Here is a 19,532-nt window from a genome sequence, read left to right on the forward strand (position 1 = left end):
GATAAATCTGGTGGCAATGTGGAAGATGAGTTGGAAAGGGACCTCTGTTTAAGGCAGTGAGATGTGTGCAGAAATGTGTCACATGAGTGATAATGAGGTTGTGAGCTAGGGAAGTGATGGTAAGAGTGAAGAGGAGGGAAGTTAGTCAAGAAAGAATTTGAAGGCAGAATTACAGGCAGGGTTTGGCAAGTGTTCACCTGTTCTTCCTGAGGGAAAAAGAAGAATCCGAAAAAACCCCACAGTCATTTCTAACTTATTGACTAGGGTGGGGAATAAAGGGAGAGCAAGTTTGGAAAGGAAGATTCTGAGTTTGGTGTTGGATATTTAGAATTTCAAGTACTTTGGGAAATCTAGGTTAACCATACATGAGATCCTAAACACAGCATAGTCATAGGTCTTGCTTATGGTGTTAAGTAGTGTAAACAATATATTTAATTATGGATCCCCAAGAAGCACTTAAAAGTAGTTTATAAGTTGGAAATGTATTCAGATACACGGCACAGAAAATCTGACTAAGTGGCTAAAAGAAATAGAGTTTATTTTTCTCATATACAGGAAAGTTGGTGATGCTGGTATTGGTTCAACTGCTCAGTGATGGCAAGACCAGTTCTCTGGGACTTGCCATCATGGTTATAAATAGCTGATGCAGCTCTAGAAACATAACCACTTTCTTGTCAGGTGCTTCTGTTTGGGTCTGTTTGGGTAGAACTGGGTCACGAGGCCTCCTCTGGCTGGAAGGTTGGCTGGAAGAGCGGGAAGAAAATTGTTGAATTCACTTAAATACATACTTTCCCATCCTATTAGACACAATTCCTCTTTTTTAAAAACAAATAATTTGTAATGCCTTCTTTATTATCCTGAAATAAACATCATAGACAATCTGCTTGTGTACATTTTTAAATAAATATATTATCCTAACTGTAATATAAAGGAACAATTAAAGGAAAATAATTTATAATTATTTCAAAATGTGAATTCTAAGGCATGACTGCACTAGAAGACATAATGAAGAAGTCAGATTCTTGCACGGTGAATGTGACAGCAACATATGCAAGTGATACAAGGGTATGGTAATGGTGTTTCCAGTACCACAGGCAGCATATTCATTTGTGTTTTACTTAAAAGATGACCAATTTTGGGTCAAGTTCTGCACAAAACACAGCATAGTCTTCTCTTGATATACAAGATAGTTGTTTCTTGAAAGAGTCAACTTGCATGAAAACTGTGCAACAACAATTTTGTATTCGTATACACAATAGAGTTACATTCAAGGCCAAGGTAATAGGTTTTTCACATTTGGAAAGCTATTTGGAATGTAGGAGAGTTCTTAGTACACAGATTGTCCCCCACATAGCTGTCTGTCTAGTGTCCCCGGCCTCTGCCAACTAGTTACCAGTAGAATCTCCATACCATGGTGACAAGTAAAAGTGCTCCCCCCACATATTCAAAATGGCCCCTAGGGGCAGCATCATCCATATTAAAAACAACTGGCTTAGATTAATGGGACTGGACACTTTGTACTCCAAACAAAATGGAGGTTGGTTAGCAAGGAAAAGGGGGAATGGATATTGAATAGGGAATTAAGTGTCTACCAATAGTAGGAACTGGGTTTTCCTTATGTTTGTATCTTTTCCCAAATTCTTGCAGAATTCCTTGCATATAGTGAGTTCTCAATAAGCTTTCTTGAATGACTGAATAAATAACTGGAATGTAAGCTATGGGAAATGGAAACCCAGTATTATATGAGCTTTGAATAAAGGCAAAAATCTTCCTTAAGATACTTAAAGGGCTAACTACCGTAAATCCAGGAATATTGTCAGAAGTTGGGAAGTGAACTTTGGTGTGCCAGTGTCTGTGCTAGGATTTAGCACTTCTGGACTTTCTGTCTGTTACACATTCTAGACTGAAGACTGAGGGTTAAATTTATATCAGTGAATCCTGTTCAGGAATGGAGGGTTTAGGGGAAATATTTAAGTTTTCATGTAAGTAGTATAGAAGAAAAAGTAACTGTCACAATAAAAGATCAATAAATCTCAGGCTTTAAATCTTAGTCTCTCTATCTTTTAGCACATTCTCTTTCCACTGTGTTCTTTTCCACTTCTGTTTGTCTATTCGCTCTGGCATTTTTATCATAGCCTGAGACATTTTCGAATGATAATTTTTAGGAGAAATATTTAGAAACAGAATCAAAGGGCTTTGTTTTGTTTCCTCGAAATATAAACCTATTATTAGAATATAATTCACAGTATGAGAAATGTAGGTTTTGCTTGAGTTTGCTTCCAGATTTAAGTAGAAAAGAAAGAAAATGACATTATAAAGAATTTTATCTCTTTTTTTGTGAAAAAGATAATCTGTAACTATGGATTGTGAAGACAATATATGAAAAGCAAATCTTTTTCAAACAGTGCTCCAAAGTTGCCTTTGAATATATAACTTCTGAATTCAAAAGCATGATACAGCATGGGTTTTTAAAAAAATAGTTGTTTAACATTTTGAAGGGTATAACATTTGATAACTCCATACTTTGAATTCAAGTGAAGGAACAATAACTTCAACCTTTTGTTTATAAGAATAAGGAACACTAAAAAATGTTGTGTAGTTTAAGTTTAGACATTTCAAATAGTCCTATAATTGCTTGAGAGAGCAGTAGAGTTTTTTTTTCAATTAGTTTATTAGTATTTCAGGGATTTTAAATGGAAGAAAATCTTGAGTGTCTTTGTAAATGAATTGCATCTTTTATAGGCACAGATGTTTTTCGCAGCATTATTTTCATCCCCATGGCTGCTTTACAATATGTGGCCTATGGAGAAAATGACAAGTAGGTAGATGATGAGTAGGGGAAAATGGTGGAAGGTACAGCAGCAATAGGAAGGAAGTATTCCCCAAGGTTTGCCTGAAAACATCTACTTTGTGAAGCTCCAACATTTATGGAGCAAAATGCCCTAGAGTGCTGCAACAGGAGACACAACTTACCACCCCTCATACGGAAGGATGGGAGGGAGAAATGGAAGGGGAAAGGGAAGGAGGGAGAATTCCTGTGATCTTCACTACCCGCTGTCTCCTTAGCACAGAGAATTCATCCATTGCCACATCAGCACAAGGACAACATATGAAGTTCCTCAAAATTTCCAAATAAGCCATTACTTATTACCTATACGGTTATTCCCTAAAAGTTTCACACTGAAGTAAACAAGTGTTTTTGGTCATTTCATGCCAACAAACTGATGGCCCTTGATCATCATCCTTTGAACTGACTCCAGGTCTAGAATGAATTTTCCTATGTATGGTGACCCTAAGTCTGTGTCTTAGAAAATATATATATATATATATATATATATATATATATATATTTTTTTTTTTTTTTTTTTTTTTTTTTTTTTTTTCTGGACTCACTGCAAACTCTGCCTCCCTGGTTCACACCATTCTCCTGCCTCAGCCTTCCGAGTAGCTGGGACTACAGGCGCCCTCCACCACGCCCAGCTAATTTTTTGTATTTTTAGTAGAGACAGGGTTTCACCGTGTTAGCCAGGATGGTCTCGATATCCTGACTTTGTGATCCGCATGCCTTGGACTCCCAAAGTGCTGGGATTACAGGAGTGAGCCACCGTGCCCGGCCAGGAAAGAACTTTTTAAGGTTGCCCTTGAATACCGGTCTTGATTAAGTTTTATTCTGTCTATATATTTCATTATTTTAATTTTATAATACATTTCTATTTCTTGCTTAGAATTTATAAATTATATATCAGATTATGATTTCTGTGTTTTAAAAATACCTATTATATCTTATGCTGGTTTTCTTAAGTGGAATGTGATATATTAATATCTTGTTCCATTTTTGTTACTTCTCCAAATATAGACGATTAGTAATATTCTACTATTTATTAATGAAAAACTACCTTAGTTGGCCTAATGTAACTATCTAAAAACAATAATAATAAAATTCTGTAGTGCTGTTAGAGAGATATATGATTATGCATTCCAGCCAGGAATTACATCAGTAATTTTTAGATTATATTCCAGGGAAAACCAGGTTTTGGGTCAACTAACACCTATTTATTGTTCACTTATGTTGAAGGTTCTAGGTGATTTCTCATATAGCTCATTGTTTTGTGCCTTCAATCTTAGTAAATCTTCTAAAGTGCTACCGATATACTCAGGGAAAACTAACTTTGTTAAAAGAATATCTTTTAAATTAACCTACTTTTAAAAATAAGCATTATTATGTTTGTGGAATTTGAAAATACAGTCTAGTTAAGGTATTTAGAATAACACTCAGTTTCTGTTTCAAAGTGATTATATCATTTTAGTATCAAAATTAATTTAATTGACCATATAAGGAGACATTAAGTATTATTATAAAAATGGCATGTTATGGCAAAGTGTGGTGGCTCACGCCTGTAATCCCAGCACTTTGGGAGGCTGATGGGGGTGGATCACAAGGTCAGGAGATCGAGATCAGCCTGGCCAATATGGTGAAAAGCTGTCTCTACTGAAAATACAAAAATTAGCTGAGCATGGTGACAGGCACCTGTAATCTCAGCTTCTCGGGAGGCATAGGCAGGAGAATTGCTTGAAACCAGAAGGTGGAGATTGCAGTGAGCTGAGATTGTGCCATTGCACTCCAGCCTGAACAAGAGTAAAACTCCATCTCCAAAAAAAAAAAAAAAAAGGCATGTTATTTATTAATACGAGTGACATACATGCAAAAGGATGTCTGACTTAGGCAATGTTATTTTCTGGACATATTTTTTAAATAGACTGTGACCTAAGTTCTGGTGGTCCCTCTAGAAAGGGTACCATTCCCTCTTCTCTGCCTGCTGAGCCATTTCCTAAGACTGTCTTCAGATGTTATGTCTTCTCTAGAGCTTTTCAGCATTCCTTTTATTCTTTTTTTTGTTCTCATGGTACTCTATGCATGAGAATGTTTGAGTATATATATATTATTACAGTTATTTGCCTCTTAGACTGCATTTGGGTATTCCTCTTTGAGTTTCTATTTCGTGTAAATGCATATAGTTTCCTATAAAAAACACAATTTATAATCCTCCAGGAAGTCTGTGTAAGTCAGTCAGTCAAATTACCTGGTTGATTATAGTTTCAGGTTTATCTGCTGCCTGGGAATCAAAACACAGGTCTTGATTAACTTTCTATAAAGCAAGGATATGGACTAGGGATCACTAAGCTCTCTTTTATCTCTACAATGGTGTCATTATATGATTCTAATCCATCACTAGAAATGTATTGTGAAATAGTTAATTAATGTTTGCAGAATGCTTAGAGAACTTTTAATGAGAAGTAGATATTTGTGGTTAGTGCTAATGAATAGATGTCTTATGAACCTTTTTTTTGCACCAACAACACATTGGAAAAATGTACTTTCAAGAATAAATTGCAATCTGGTGAAATTTTTTTATTAGTTAACAAAATTTAGCTTTTAAAAACAAGTATCAGTATAGTGGCTTTAGTGGCTTTAGAAACCAGGACCCTATGCATATAAATAGTTGTAATAAAAAGGGAAGCAGCAACAGTGTATAGTTTTCATAATTTTTCAAAATAGTTTAAATATGATAGCAACTTTTTACTCTTACAGCTTAGTTGTGAAGGAGGCAAGGCCAGTACTCTTATACTCTGGGAAGCTAAGACCTAGAGAGATTAAATGCTCATTTATTTCTTAAATAAAAATGTATTGAGTGCCTGTATTTGAGTATAACAATTGAAGGTGCAGTGGTGAATAATTTACCCTACTTGACTTTGATAGTAAGGGAGACAGGTTTATAAACAAACATATTAGCTGATAGCATAGTTAATTATGGTAGAAACACAGAAGATGGTGCAAATAACTCTGGGGTGTTGTTTAGTGAGCCTTTACAGAAAAGGTAGTTTTTAAAGCATTTTCATTAAACTGTAAGTGGAGGCATTTGCCAGATGAAGGGGAGGAGGTGAGGAGAAGGGTCTTTCAATAAAAGAGAATGAACATATGTAAAGACCCAGAGTTATGAAAGAGCCTGTGCGTTTGAAGAACAGCGTGAAGTTCAATGCAGCTAGAGCAATATTGTCCAATATAAATATGAACACAAATGTGCAATTTAAATTTTTCTAATAGCCATAGTACAGAGTAAAAAGAGACAGGTAAAATCAATAATAACACATTTTATTTAACCCAATTTATCTGAAATATTTATTTATTTTTCAACTTAAGTCATTAAAATCAAATCAGGTGAATATTTTACACTTACAAAACATTTCAATTTGTCTTCCTTCCTTCCTTTCTTTTCTTTTCTTTCTTTCTTTTTCTTTACTTTTTTTTTTTTTTTTAGGGACTGGATCTTGCTATATTGCCCAGGCTGGTCTTCCTGCCTCAGTCTCCCAAAGTGCTGGGATTACAGGCATGAGCCACTGCCCTCAGCCTAAGACATCTCAGTTTGGACTCAACACATTTCAAGGGCTCAATATATAGAAGCTTAGCAATGCATGTATATGTATGTGTGTGTCGGAGAGAGAAAGAGAGTGAGAATGAAAATCTGTGTGCTCTAGAGGGGGAGGAGGTTAGATAAGGTTGAAGTAGTTGTTGGAGTCATATTTTTAAAGGCTCTGCATGCTGGCTTATTTTAGAATTTTTTCTTATAATTTAGTAGTTTATGATTGTGCTTCTCATATTATCTGTGGTGAAGGAACAATTTTGAAAATTTTGCATTTGTTATAGACTAATGCTTTCGCAAAATAATAATAAATTAGAAAGGTGAAAGTAAAAAGACATACAAAGAGAAGCACCATTTTTTAATCATTAAAGTTGACAAGATGTTGTCTTAGTCTATTTTGTGCTGCTATAACGGAATACCATGGACTGGATAGTTTATAACTAACAGAAATTAATTGGTTTACAATTCTAGAGCCTAGAAAGTCCAAGATTGAGGGGCCACATCTGGTGAGGGCCTTTTAGCTGCATCAAAACTTTGCAAAAGGCATCACATAGTGGAAGGGCAAGAGAGGGAGAGAGAAAAAGCAAGAGGGGGTAAACTCACTCCCATGATAAATAACCCATTCCCTCAATAAAGGCATTTGTCCATTCACGAGGGCAAATCCATCATGATCTAAACATCTCTTAAAGGTCCTACCTTCCAAGACCATTACAAAGGCAATTAAATTTCAACATGAATTTGGAGGGACAAAAGTTAAACCCATAGTATTCCTCCTGTCATGTTTTTCTTACATACAAAACACATTTATTTCATCCCAATAGCTCCAAAGTCTTAATTCCTTCCAGCACCAACTCAAAAGTCCGAAGTCTTGTCTAAATCAGATATGGGTGAGACATAACACAATTCATTCTGAGGCAAATTCCCCTCTAGCTGTGAGCCTGTGAAATTATACAAGTTATCTATTTCCACAATACAATGGTGGGACAGGTATAGGATAGACATTCCCATTCCAAAATGGATAAATAGGCAAGGAAGGGGTAACTGGTTCCAAGTAAGTCCAAAACCCAATGGGGACAACAACAGTAAATCTTAAGCCTCAGAAATAATTTTCTTTGACTCCATGCTGCCCTGCTTCCTGGACACACTGGGGAAGGGGTTGAGCCCCCAAGGACTTGGAGAGCCCTGCACCTATGGCTTTGCTGGAACGTTGGAGTCTTATGCTTACAGCTCTCCTGGGCTGGCTTTGTGTGCTGGTATCTACAGTTCAGGAGTCTCAGGTGTGGTTCTGCCCCTGCAGCTTCACTAGACATTGCTTTAGTGGGGACTGTTTGTGGCAGCTCTGCTCCTGCAGCAGATTTCTACCTGGATCCCCAGGCTGTCTGATACATTCTTTAAAATCTAGGTGAAGGTAGCCATGCCTCCACAGCTTGTGAACTCTGTGTGCCTGCAGAATTGGCACCGTGTGGATACCACCAGGACTTACTGCTTGTGCACTCAGGAGCAGAGGCCTTAGCTGCACATGTGCCTGCTCAAGCTATGGCTGGAGCAGCTTAAGGGCACTGCACCAGAATGTGGGGAACAGACATTTGGGTAGGTGAGGTGCAGGGCAGTTAATTCTGAGGTCCCCTGGGTGCCTCTTTGGAAACTTTGCCCTCAAGATTCTAGCTTGCCTCAGAGATCCCTGAAGTGCCTTTGCGGTCATTTTCTTATTGTCTTGATGAATAGCACCTGGCTCTTTACTAGCCATACAAACCTTTCTAGCAAATGGTTGTGTGGCCACATCTTTTGTTTGCACTCCTAAGCACACATTTTTATTCTTTACATGGCCAGGCTGTGAATTTTCATAATTTTTATGTTCTATTTCCCCTTAAATTATGAATACTGTCTTTAAATTATTTCTTTCCCCTCACATTCTATTATATACATTTAAAAGAAGCCACACAGCTCCTTCAGTATTTTGCTTAGAAATTTCTTCCATCAGATATTCTAGTTTATCACTCTTAAATTCTGCCTTCTGTTAAAGCCCTCAGGCATGGACACACTTTAGCCAAGTTTTTTGCCACTTAATAACAAGGATAGCCTTTACTACAGTTTCCAATACGTTGTTCTTCATTTCCATCTGAGACCTCATCAGAATTGCCTGTACTGTCCATATTTCTGTCAGCATTCTGGTCATGAATCTCTAAGAAGAATCACTCAAGTAATCTCTAAGAAGTTCCCGACTTTCTCTCTGGCTCATCTGCTCTTCTGAGCCCTTTCCAGAACTTCCCTTAATACTGCATTCATTGTAATCTAGGCTTTTCCTAGGCTGCTCTTCCAAATTCTTCCGGCCTCTCCCCGTTACCCAATTTCAAAGCTGCGTTCACATTTTTCGGGTATTTGTTATAACAACCCACCTCTCTGGTACCAATTTTTGTCTTAGTTGTGTGAGTGTGTGTGTGTGTGTGTGTGTGTGCTGCTTTAACAGAATACCACAGACGGAGTAATTTATAAAGAATGAAAATTTATTAGCTCGTGGTTCTGCAGGCTAAACAGTCCAAGAATGAGGGGCCACATCTGGTGAGGGTCTTCTTGCCACATCATAACATGGCAGAAGGCATCGCACAGAAGAAGGGCAAAGAGGGGATGAGAGAGATCAAAGGAGACACAAACCCCTTCCTGCAATAAACATTAGTTTATTCATAAAGGTGGAGCCCTCATGTCCTGAATACATTTTGAAAGTCCAACCTTATAATACCGTCACAAGCGCAATTACATTTCAACATGAGTTTTGAAGGGGACAAACATTCAAACAATAGCAGACATATAGTTTATAAAAAAGTGTCTAAACCAGTGCTATCCAATAGAACTTTCTGTCATGATAGGAATGTTCTGTCTGTGCTGCTTAATATAATAGCCACTAGCCACACGTATCTATTGAGTACTTGAAATGTGGCTAGTGTGACTGAGAAAATAAATCTTTAGTTTAATTTAATTTTAGTTAATTTAAATTGAAGTGACCATATGAGACAATTGATTACTATATTGGACAGCATTGAATACATTTACTCATAATCTCTGTATTTACCTATTGTGCATTAGTAAAAAACAGTTTGTGGACTGGTATGGCCCACAAACCCATGCTTTGAGTAGCACTGTTTAAAGCATGGACTCTAGAGCTAGAAAGCCTTTGTGTATCTTTGGCAAACTGCTTAATCGCTTGGTGCCTCAGTTTCCTCATTTGTAAAATAAAGGTAATAATAAACTACCTTATAGAGTTGTTGTGAGGATTAAATGCATTAATGAGTGTAGCATACTTAGTACAAGGTCTGACACACAGCATGCACTATATAAATGCTTCCTGTTATTGTTATTATTATTTATTATGTAGGTGGTGGATATCAAACAGTTAATTGGTAACAAAGCCCAGTCTTTTTATTAATTCTCTGCTTTTTGCAGTAGCTTAGACTTTTTCCTTTTAAAAACATACCACAGTTTGTGGCATCTAGTGGCTTCCAATAAATACCTTTTGAACATAAGCATAAAGTACTTTTCAAGCACAGATGAAGAAGCAATTATTGTTCTGAGGTGGGGGGGGGGTTGGTAAAATTATCAAAAACAGATGACAGCTGAGAAGGCCTCAATGGAGGAGTCTGACAGGCAAAGAGGAGAGAACACACCTGGTGGAGGGAGCAAGGACACCCATTTGGATTATACTCTATTTAGGAGACTATACAGCAGGTAACACTGACTTAGCCCTATCACTGCTACCACCACTTCTTTCTCTCCTTCCCAGCTCTTTTCTTGATTTATCCTTTTAGCATATTTTAAACAGGATTAATAGGTAACACGTGATTCTACAGTTTTAAGGGAGGTCAATCGTTGCCTCTTTACTTGTTCATTCCTCAGAGTAACAGTGCCTGAATTTGATGGTGGATGTTGGGCAGTGGTTGGGAAGGGAAGGGGAATGCTGCTTGAAAAGCAATCCCTGGGTTATGGGCAGATAGCTGTGAGATTCTTTTCCCCTAAAACATAATGTTTCTTATTTATGTAGATTATCTTAACAAGAAAACCAACTGGAAAAAAAAATGAAATTCCTTATCTTCGCATTTTTCGGTGGTGTTCACCTTTTATCCCTGTGCTCTGGGAAAGCTATATGCAAGAATGGCATCTCTAAGAGGACTTTTGAAGAAATAAAAGAAGAAATAGCCAGCTGTGGAGATGTTGCTAAAGCAATCATCAACCTAGCTGTTTATGGTAAAGCCCAGAACAGATCCTATGAGCGATTGGCACTTCTGGTTGATACTGTTGGACCCAGACTGAGTGGCTCCAAGAACCTAGAAAAAGCCATCCAAATTATGTACCAAAACCTGCAGCAAGATGGGCTGGAGAAAGTTCACCTGGAGCCAGTGAGAATACCCCACTGGGAGAGGGGAGAAGAATCAGCTGTGATGCTGGAGCCAAGAATTCATAAGATAGCCATCCTGGGTCTTGGCAGCAGCATTGGGACTCCTCCAGAAGGTATTGTTTGTCTTTTCAGTTTGATTTGTATTTTATAAAACTAATGTCCCTTGGTGTAATTGAGTACAATATGCATGATTCATATTATAATTTGGATAATTTCCTATTCCATTGGCTTAATGAGTTCTCTACCCTTTTTTGTCCTCCCATTTTTTACTTCTGTTTCTTTTGTGAAAGGGAACTGATCATGTTGGATCGCTTTTTAAATGTAGAATCTGTAGCTACTGGTCCATGATACTTACCAGCCCTATCACTTTGTAATTGCTATCTAGTTAAACATTAGCATGGTTCTATAGATAATTGAAATATACATAAACAGGATACAAAAACGATGACTTCTTCCAAGTGGCCTCAGTGTGAATAATTTTTTAGAATTAATGAAATAGAGAATAGAACTTTGCACTCTGAATTGATTTAATTATTTTTATAGAACTGAGGCTTCTCCTGCAAGGAATTATCCAAGGTTGAGTTCTACCTTTACTTATAAGCACCCTGGATCAGCTTTATCAGATAATATACAGTAAATGCCCAGATCAGGGATGTATAGCCAGTCATCAGGGAGCTATCAGTTAGCCTTGAATATATCCATGGGCTAATTTCCGGTGGCAGAAGAACGAGTTTCTATTCTTTTGACTTTTTTGAATGCCAAGAGAAAGGCCTAGTGAAGTACATTGTCAGTTTAAAACATTATTTATTGAGATATAATTCACATACTATGATGTTCATGCATTTAGAATGTACAAGCGATTTTTAATATATTCACAGAGTTGTGCAGCCACCACAATCTAATTATAGAACATCTTCATCACCACAAAAAGAAACTCTGTGACTATTAGCTGTCATTCTCCAGTCTACCTATATCCCAGCCCTAGGAAACCACTAATCTGCTTTCTGTCTTTATGGATTTGCTTATTCTGGGCATTTTACATGAATGGAATAATAAATTATGTGATCTTTCATGAATTCTTTTTTTCATGTAGCATACTGTTTTCCAGGTTCATCTATGTTGTCACATGTTTCAGTATTTCATTCTTTTTATTGCTCAATAATATTCCATTTTATGGATGTACCACATTTTTATTTATCCATGCATCAGTTGATGGACATTGAGATTGTTTTCACCTTTTAGATATTATGAATAGTGCTGCTATGAACATTCATGCACAAGTTTTTCATGTGAACATTTGTTTTCATTTCTCTTGGGCATATACCAAGAAGTAGAATTGCTGGGTCATATACCAGCTCTATGTTTAACTTTATGAGGTATTGCCAAACTGTTTTCTGAAGTGGCTGCACAGTTTTATGTACCCACTGACAATGTATTATAATTTTTCCATATGCTTGCCAACACTTGTTATTATCTGTCTTCTTGGTTATAGCTATTCTAGTGGGTGTGGAGTGGTATCTCATTGTGGTTTTGATTTGCATTTCCCTAATGACAAGTGATGTTGAGCATCCTTCCATGTTCTTACTCGCCATTTGTTTATCTTCTTTGGAGAAATGTGTATCCAAATTCATTGCCCAGTTTTTAATCGGACTATGAGATTTTTATTATAGAGTTTTAAAAGCTTTTTTAATGTATTGTATATACAAGTCCCTTTTCATATATTTGATTTACTAATGTTCTCTCCCATTCTGAGGACTGTCTTTTCTTTTTTTTTGATGGCAATATTTGCTACAGAAATATTTAATTTTTGATTAGTCCAACTAATTTATTTTATTTCTTTTGTTGCCTGTGCTTTTGGTATCATATCAAACCATTGCCTACACCATGGTCACAAACATTTACTACTACTACTGTAATGTATCTAGGTATGTATATCTTTACTCTCATCTCATATTTTCTTCTAAGAATTTTATGGCTGCCATTCTTACATTTATATCTGTGAATTAATTGTGTTAATTTTTGTATATGGTATAAGATAAGGCTTCAGCTTTCTTCTTTTGAATGTGGTCATTCAGTTGTCTCAGCTTCATTTGTTGAAAAGACTATTCTTTCTCCTTTAATTCGGTGCATTACATTAATTGATTTTCAAATGTTAAACAAACCTTGCATTACTGGGATAAACCCCACTTGATTACAATACATAATCTTTTTTATATGGTGCTGAATTCAGTTTGGTGGTATTTTGCTTAATATTTTGCATTTACATCCATAGGGATATTGGCTTGTAGTTTCATTTTCTTATAATGTCTTTTTTTTTTTTTTTTTTTTTTTTTTTTTTGTATCAGAGTAAGACTGGCCTCATGAAATCAGTGGCAAAGTGTCACCTCACCTTCCATTCTTTGGAAGAGATTACAACTGACTGCTATTAATTCTTTAAATTTCTGGTAGAATTCACCAGTGAAGCAATCTCATTCACGCTTTTCTTTGTGGGAAGATTTTTAATTATTAATTCAGTTTCTTTACTTGTCTAATCAGATTTTCAGTTTCTTCTTGAGTCAGTTTTAGTAGTTTGTGTCTTTTGAGAAATGTATCTGTTTTATCTAAGTCATGTAATTTGTTGGTATACAGTTATTTATAGTATCTTATTATAATTTTTTTATGTTTGTAAGGATGGGGTCTAAATCACTGCTGTCACTTGCTTTTGGGCAGAACAACTGTTTAGATTTTTCTAGCAACAAATTCTCTGAGCCTTTATTCATCTTTATCTCTTTGCTTAACCTTCAGTTTTGAAAGATAGTTTTACTAGACATGAGATTCTTAGTTGAGGGGTTTGTTTTTCTTTTCTTTTTTTCTTTTCTTTCTTTCTTTTTTTTTTATTTTCAGCACTTTGAATACATTATCGATCCCATTGCCTTCTGGACTCCATTGTTTCTTTTTCTTTCTTCCTTTTTTTTTTTTGAGATGGAGTTTCACTCTTGTTGCCTAGGCTGGAGTGCAATGGCACAATCTCAGCTCACTGCAACCTCCATTTCCCCAGTTCAAGTGATTCTCCTGCCTCAGCCTCCCAAGTAGCTGGGATTACAGGTGCACACCACCATGCCCAGCTAATTTTTTGTATTTTTAGTAGAGATGCAGTTTCACCATTTTGGACAGGCTTGTCTCAAACTCCTGGATTCAGGTGATCCACCTGCCTAGGCTTCCCAAAGTGATGGGATTACAGGCTTGAGCCACCATGCCCGGCCTGGACTCCATTGTTTTGATGAGATGTCAGCTGTTACAGTTTTGGAGGTTTCCTTGTATGTGCTGAGTCATGTCTTCTTTATTGCTTTCAAGGTTTTCTTTTTCTTTTGATTTTTATTATTTTGACTCTAATGTATCTAGGTATATATATCTTTATTCTCATCTTACTTGGAGGTTGTTGATTTTCTTGCATGTGTAGATTGAAGTTTTTCATCAAATTTGAGAAGTTTTCAGCTATCATTTTCACAAATTCTTTTTCTTCCTTTTTTTCTTTTTCCTCTCCTTCTGGTACTTCCATTTACAGTGTGTTGGTGATTTAATGATGTCCCATATTTCTCTTATGCTCTGCTCATTTTTCTTTATTCTTTATTTTCTTTGTTCTTCAGATTGTATGACCTCTATCAATCTGTCATCAAGCTTACTGATTCTTTCTTCTATTAGCTTAAAGCTACTATTGAGCCTCTATACTGAATTTGTCTTTTTAGTTACTATACATTTAAACTCCAGAACTTCTCTTTGGTCTTTTTAAAAAATAATTTCTGTGTCTTTATTGATATTTTTTATTTGATGAGATGTTGTCATCATATCTGCCTTTAGTTCTTTAAGTATGGTTTCTTTTAGTTCCTTGAATATTTCAATAATAGCTTCTTTGAAGTGTTTGCTATATCCTACATCTGGGCCCCCTAAAAGACAGTTTCTACTGCCTACTTCTTTTTTTTCATGTGTATGGGTTGTACTTTATTGTATCTTTTTATGCCATAGTTTTAAAAACAGAAAACCTGAATATTTAAAATAATAATTTAAAATAATATTTTATGGCAACTCTGGATGCTGACTTGTCTTCCTCCCTTTCCCCCATCCATTTACCTGGTCATTCATTTGTTTAATCGCTTGACTGTACTAACTCTGTGATGTCTATTTCTCCTACACTGTTCAGCTTCTGATGTTCCTGTTTAGATTGTTTTTCTGTTTTATTTTTTGTTTTTCTTTTGGCTGGGTTCCCTATGAGTCACCCGTAGGTCTGCATAAGCCACTTATTGGTCAAAGGTTATGCTTAGGTTCCTTTAGACAGTTATATTTTTACTCTTTGCCATTTGATGTTTTTATGGCTTGGAGTCTGTTATTACAACTTAAGAAGTTTGTTTTTTCCCCCAACTTTGGCCAAGGCCAAATGCCTTGGAAGTTCCTTTTCTAATCACTTCTGAGAGGGTGCGGCCTTGAGCATGCACACAGCCTTCCAGATTACCAGAATGCAAATAATTTTATTTTTAAGCGTGGCTTAATAGTATTTTCTCCAGGGTCAGAATAGCTTATTTTTTAGCCAGTGTTTGCTCAGAGGTTGTCCTTAAACACCTTGAGTGAGTGAGATTTCTGCCCTTTGTTGACGGATCTGTGTGCAGCTTGGGAAATGTTTTCAAGTCTGACCCATGTGTTGTTTTGATTGTTCCTGAGTAGGTATGACCTAGGACATGTGTGTAGCTTTTCAACCCCCAGGGTTTACTGGGATCCCAGGAAGGCCCTTCTTGGTTGTTTCTTTCCTTGGTTCTTTCTGTTAAAGCTATGGTTGTTCTGCCATTTTGCTTGTTGCTAGCAGTATCGTGAAGCTACCAGCACCCCCTTAATTGTTCTTCACCAAGCTCTCCATTATTTTCAGCAACACCCTTAAGTAGGGAATTCTCCGTTCTCTGCACTAAATGAAGTCACTAACATCAATAAGAACTATGGAGCTCTTCATCCTTATGGCTTCTCTCTTCCCCCAGGAGAACATTCGTGCTACTGCAAGGGAGCTAGATGCAGTGATAGTGGCACCTCCCAGTGTCACCCAGAATGATATCCCTAGTGGATGATAAGAAGGGAGGAGGTAGTTCTCAGCCTTGTTGGCTTGCAGCTTCCAGTATGGGACCACCTCCTATGAGTGAGCTGAGAAAGGGGTGATCAGAGTCTTAGTATTCTTGATGGCTACTTAGGGTAGAGTTTCCACCCTATGAGTAGGACTTGGGTAGAGGAATGGCACCTCAGTTCTCTTGGCATTGCTTGACTAGAACAGAGGTTCTACCACAAGGTAATGGGGTTGGGGAATGAGAAACACTGGTAGTCTGTCCTTCCAAAGGTGAAACTGTAGCCCTAAACTGAGAATTGGGTGGAGAGAAAGCTCTTACGTTCTTGTCTGCACTTGGTCAGAATACGGTACCTGTAGTAGAGTTTCTGTAACATGGGGCTGGGGGTGGGAGAGGAAAGCAGATCATGACCCAGATGCCACAGACTCTTACTGTTCTCATCAAGACTTGGTAAATTTTCTTGGATGAATGTTGTCCTTTGCTGTATGCCCTTAGGGGAGTTTTGAGAGACATTAAATTATTTTTTAAATAATTTTTCCCACTAAATATTTTGTGGGGTGAAGATCTGCTGAGTTACTCATGCTGCCATGCTGGAAGAATCACTGGGATAGCCAGTTTTGATCTCTCTAAGGCTGCATGAATAGGTGGTAGAATTCTCCAAGGTATTAGGGAGCTCCTTAGCTTGGGTTCTATAGTGTTAGTCAGTTTTCTTCAGTTGCCTTCTGTTAAATGCTAATCTATGTTAGACACCAACTTAAATCCTCCTTTTTAAGCTCTCTCAATTGTCCAGTTATCTGAAAAGGATTAGCACTTTTTTTCCCAGATGAGAGAACCAGACTCCAAGAGGTTATGTAATTTACCAAGGGTTGCACAACTGGTAAGAGGCCTTGTTTGGGCATGAACAACTGTCAAACTCCAGAGTTTGTGCTTTTAGTCATTAGACTATATTGCCTCACATACAAATATTTTAATGTTGTTTCATTTATAAGATTACTATTTTTAGCCATCTAGCTGAAGCAGATCTGTTTCAAAAGCCGTTGATACCTGTACTGTGACAGCAGAATATATTGGTTTTTGTGTGTTTTTTTAAAGAAAGTTTTCTTATTCCCATTTCTTTCTCATTGTCATTTCTGATTCTACAACTGGGCCTCCTCTTTCCTGGCTACCTGCCTGGTATTGAAAACTAAGCCAAGTTACTGATTGCTCCTGAGACCTTCAAAACCCAGAGGATATGAATTTTACTCACCGGAATCTATTCTGTTTTCCAAGACTCACTTTCACCCCACTCCTCGTTCCATGGGGCTCAAAGTAGATAAACAGTTGTCTGGCAACTGGACTATTTTAAGCTCTGAAGAGACTGGAGAGTTAGGCTGGACCAGGTGTGGAAAAGTCCCACAGGAGACAGTGTAAAGTTGGCGTAACAGGATCTCTAATCCAGGCAGAGTGGTGCAGAGCTTATCTTCTAGCCTCTCTCTCAGGAAACCTGTCTTCTCACTTTGGCTTACCACTAACTAGTTGTGTGACCTTGGTTGCCATTTAATCATCATGGCCTTGATTTCGTGACCTGTGAAATGAGAGATGGTTGGAATGTTGAATCTGTAAGGTCTCCTCTAGATTGGAAAGGGTAATTTTTATGAGACTCCATAAGGGATCACTGAAGCTAGAATTTACAGGAGCTGGATTCTGCCAACTATATGTGATGGAGTAGATTCTTTGTTTAACCAGATTTTTTAACTTTTTAATTCTAGACTTGAATATTACAGTATGTATGTTAGTTTATGCACTCTTCTCAACTTCAGTATTACAGTAGGTATGTTAGTTTATTCACATGGCAGGATTGAGAGCTCTGCAAGTTATCTGTGGAGAGTTTGAAGAAGGCAGATATACAAGCAGGCCAAGTCCGAAGAGATGAAGGACAAACTTACAAGACAGGAGAAAGCACAATCTCCAATCAGTCCTGAGATAACATAGCATACATCAGATTTGAATGGACCAAGTAAAAGAATGAGAATCAACAGTCACATCTGGGACAGGCTGACATATGTTCAAGAAAGAGGAACTTGGGCAGACTATGCGGTTCTTTCCCAGCAGACATAACTCTGGGTCTTCATGGTTTATGGTCTCTGAGCCCAACACAGCAGGTCATTGAGTATTTATTAATCCTCATTGGAGACTGACATCTCTACCGAAATACAGGGCTTTCTTAAAATTTTAGGATTGTATGTTTTTATTATGTTTGGTGTATGTTTTATTATGTTTGTATGCCATATTATGTTATGTTTTATTGTATGTTTTATATTAGTTAGGGGGCTCCTGGCGGCCTGGACTGAGTCTTATCCATTTCTATATTCTCAACATCTAGCATCATACTCAGTAAATAGTTACTCATTTAGTTTACTCATTTATTTGAGAAACAGTGGATTTTTAAGGTAGTTCTTTCCTTGGGGTATTATTCACTTGTACTAAAATAAGGCCTTCTTCTACATTGTATTAGTCTGTTCTCATGCTGCTATGAAGTAATACTAAGACAGGATAATTTATAGACGAAAGAGGTTTAATTGAATCACAGTTCCACATGGCTGGGGAGGCCTCAGGAAAGTTACAATCATGGCGGAAGACACTCCTTCACAGGGCGGAAGGAGAGAATGAGTGGCAAGCGAAGGGGAAAGATGGTTATACAACCATCAGATCTTGTGAGAATTCACTCACTATCACAAGAACAGCATGGGGGTTACTGCCCCCCATGATTCAGTTACATCCCACTGAGTCCCTCAATAAGATTTGGGTGGGACACAGCCAAGCCATATACATAATGAATGATGATACTGTTGAGCCATCATCATTTACTCAGAATTTCCCTGATTATAAAATTAATACTTGCTTATTATAGAAAGCATGTACATAAATATAAAAATAATAAAAATCACCTGTATTGGTCCATTTTCACGCTGCTTATAAAGACATACCCAAGACTGGGCAATTTACAAAAGAAAGAGGTTTATTAGACTTACAGTTCCACGTGGCTTGAGAGGCCTCACAATCGTGGCAGAAAGTGAAAGGCATATCTCACATGGTGGCAGACAAGAGAAGAGAGCTTGTGCAGGGAACTCCCCTTTTTAAAACCATGAGATCTTGTGAGACTTATTCACTATCATGAGAACAGCATGGGAAGGACCTGCCCCCATGATTCAATTACCTCCCACTGGGTCCTTCCCACAACATGTGGAAATTCAAGATCAGAGTTGGGTTGGGACATAGTCAAACTATATCATTCTGACTTGGCCCCTCCAAAATCTATGTCCTCACATTTCAAAACCAATCATGCTTTCCCAACAGTTTGCCAAAATCTTAACTCATTTCAGCATTAACTCAAAAGTCCACAGTCCAAAGTCTCATCCGAGACAAGGCAAGTCCTGTCCACTTATAAGCCTGCAAAATCAAAAGCAAGCTAGTTACTTCCTAGATACAATGGGGGTACAGGCATTGGGTAAATACAGCCATTCCTTGTGGGAGAAATTGGCCAAAACAAAGGGGCTACAGGTCCCATGCAAGTCCAAAATCCAGCAGGGCAGCCAAATCTTAAAGCTTCAAAATGATCTCCTTTAACTCCATGTCTCACATCTAGGTCATGCCAATGCAAAATGTGGG

General features: G+C 37.4%; 1 protein-coding gene and 1 long non-coding RNA gene across 2 annotated transcripts in view; one reads left to right on the forward strand and one right to left on the reverse strand.

The window, feature by feature from the left end:
• The window catches only part of CPQ (carboxypeptidase Q), a 498,260-nt gene that overhangs the window by 129,170 nt on the left and 349,558 nt on the right, over positions 1-19,532 (forward strand). Inside the window, exon 2 of the mRNA NM_016134.4 lies at positions 10,453-10,919. Within this exon, the coding sequence (NP_057218.1) occupies positions 10,487-10,919 (433 nt within the window). The 5' untranslated portion in view covers positions 10,453-10,486. The remainder of the gene's footprint in view (positions 1-10,452; positions 10,920-19,532) is intronic.
• LOC124901985 (uncharacterized) lies at positions 518-18,931 on the reverse strand. Its single transcript, XR_007061019.1, has 3 exons — positions 18,896-18,931; positions 17,131-17,448; positions 518-743 (listed from the first exon to the last, which is right to left on the reverse strand). It is a non-coding gene; the product is annotated as an uncharacterized LOC124901985 (long non-coding RNA).

Source organism: Homo sapiens, chromosome 8, assembly GCF_000001405.40.
Source record: "Homo sapiens chromosome 8, GRCh38.p14 Primary Assembly".
Classification (NCBI taxonomy): Eukaryota; Metazoa; Chordata; class Mammalia; order Primates; family Hominidae; genus Homo; species Homo sapiens.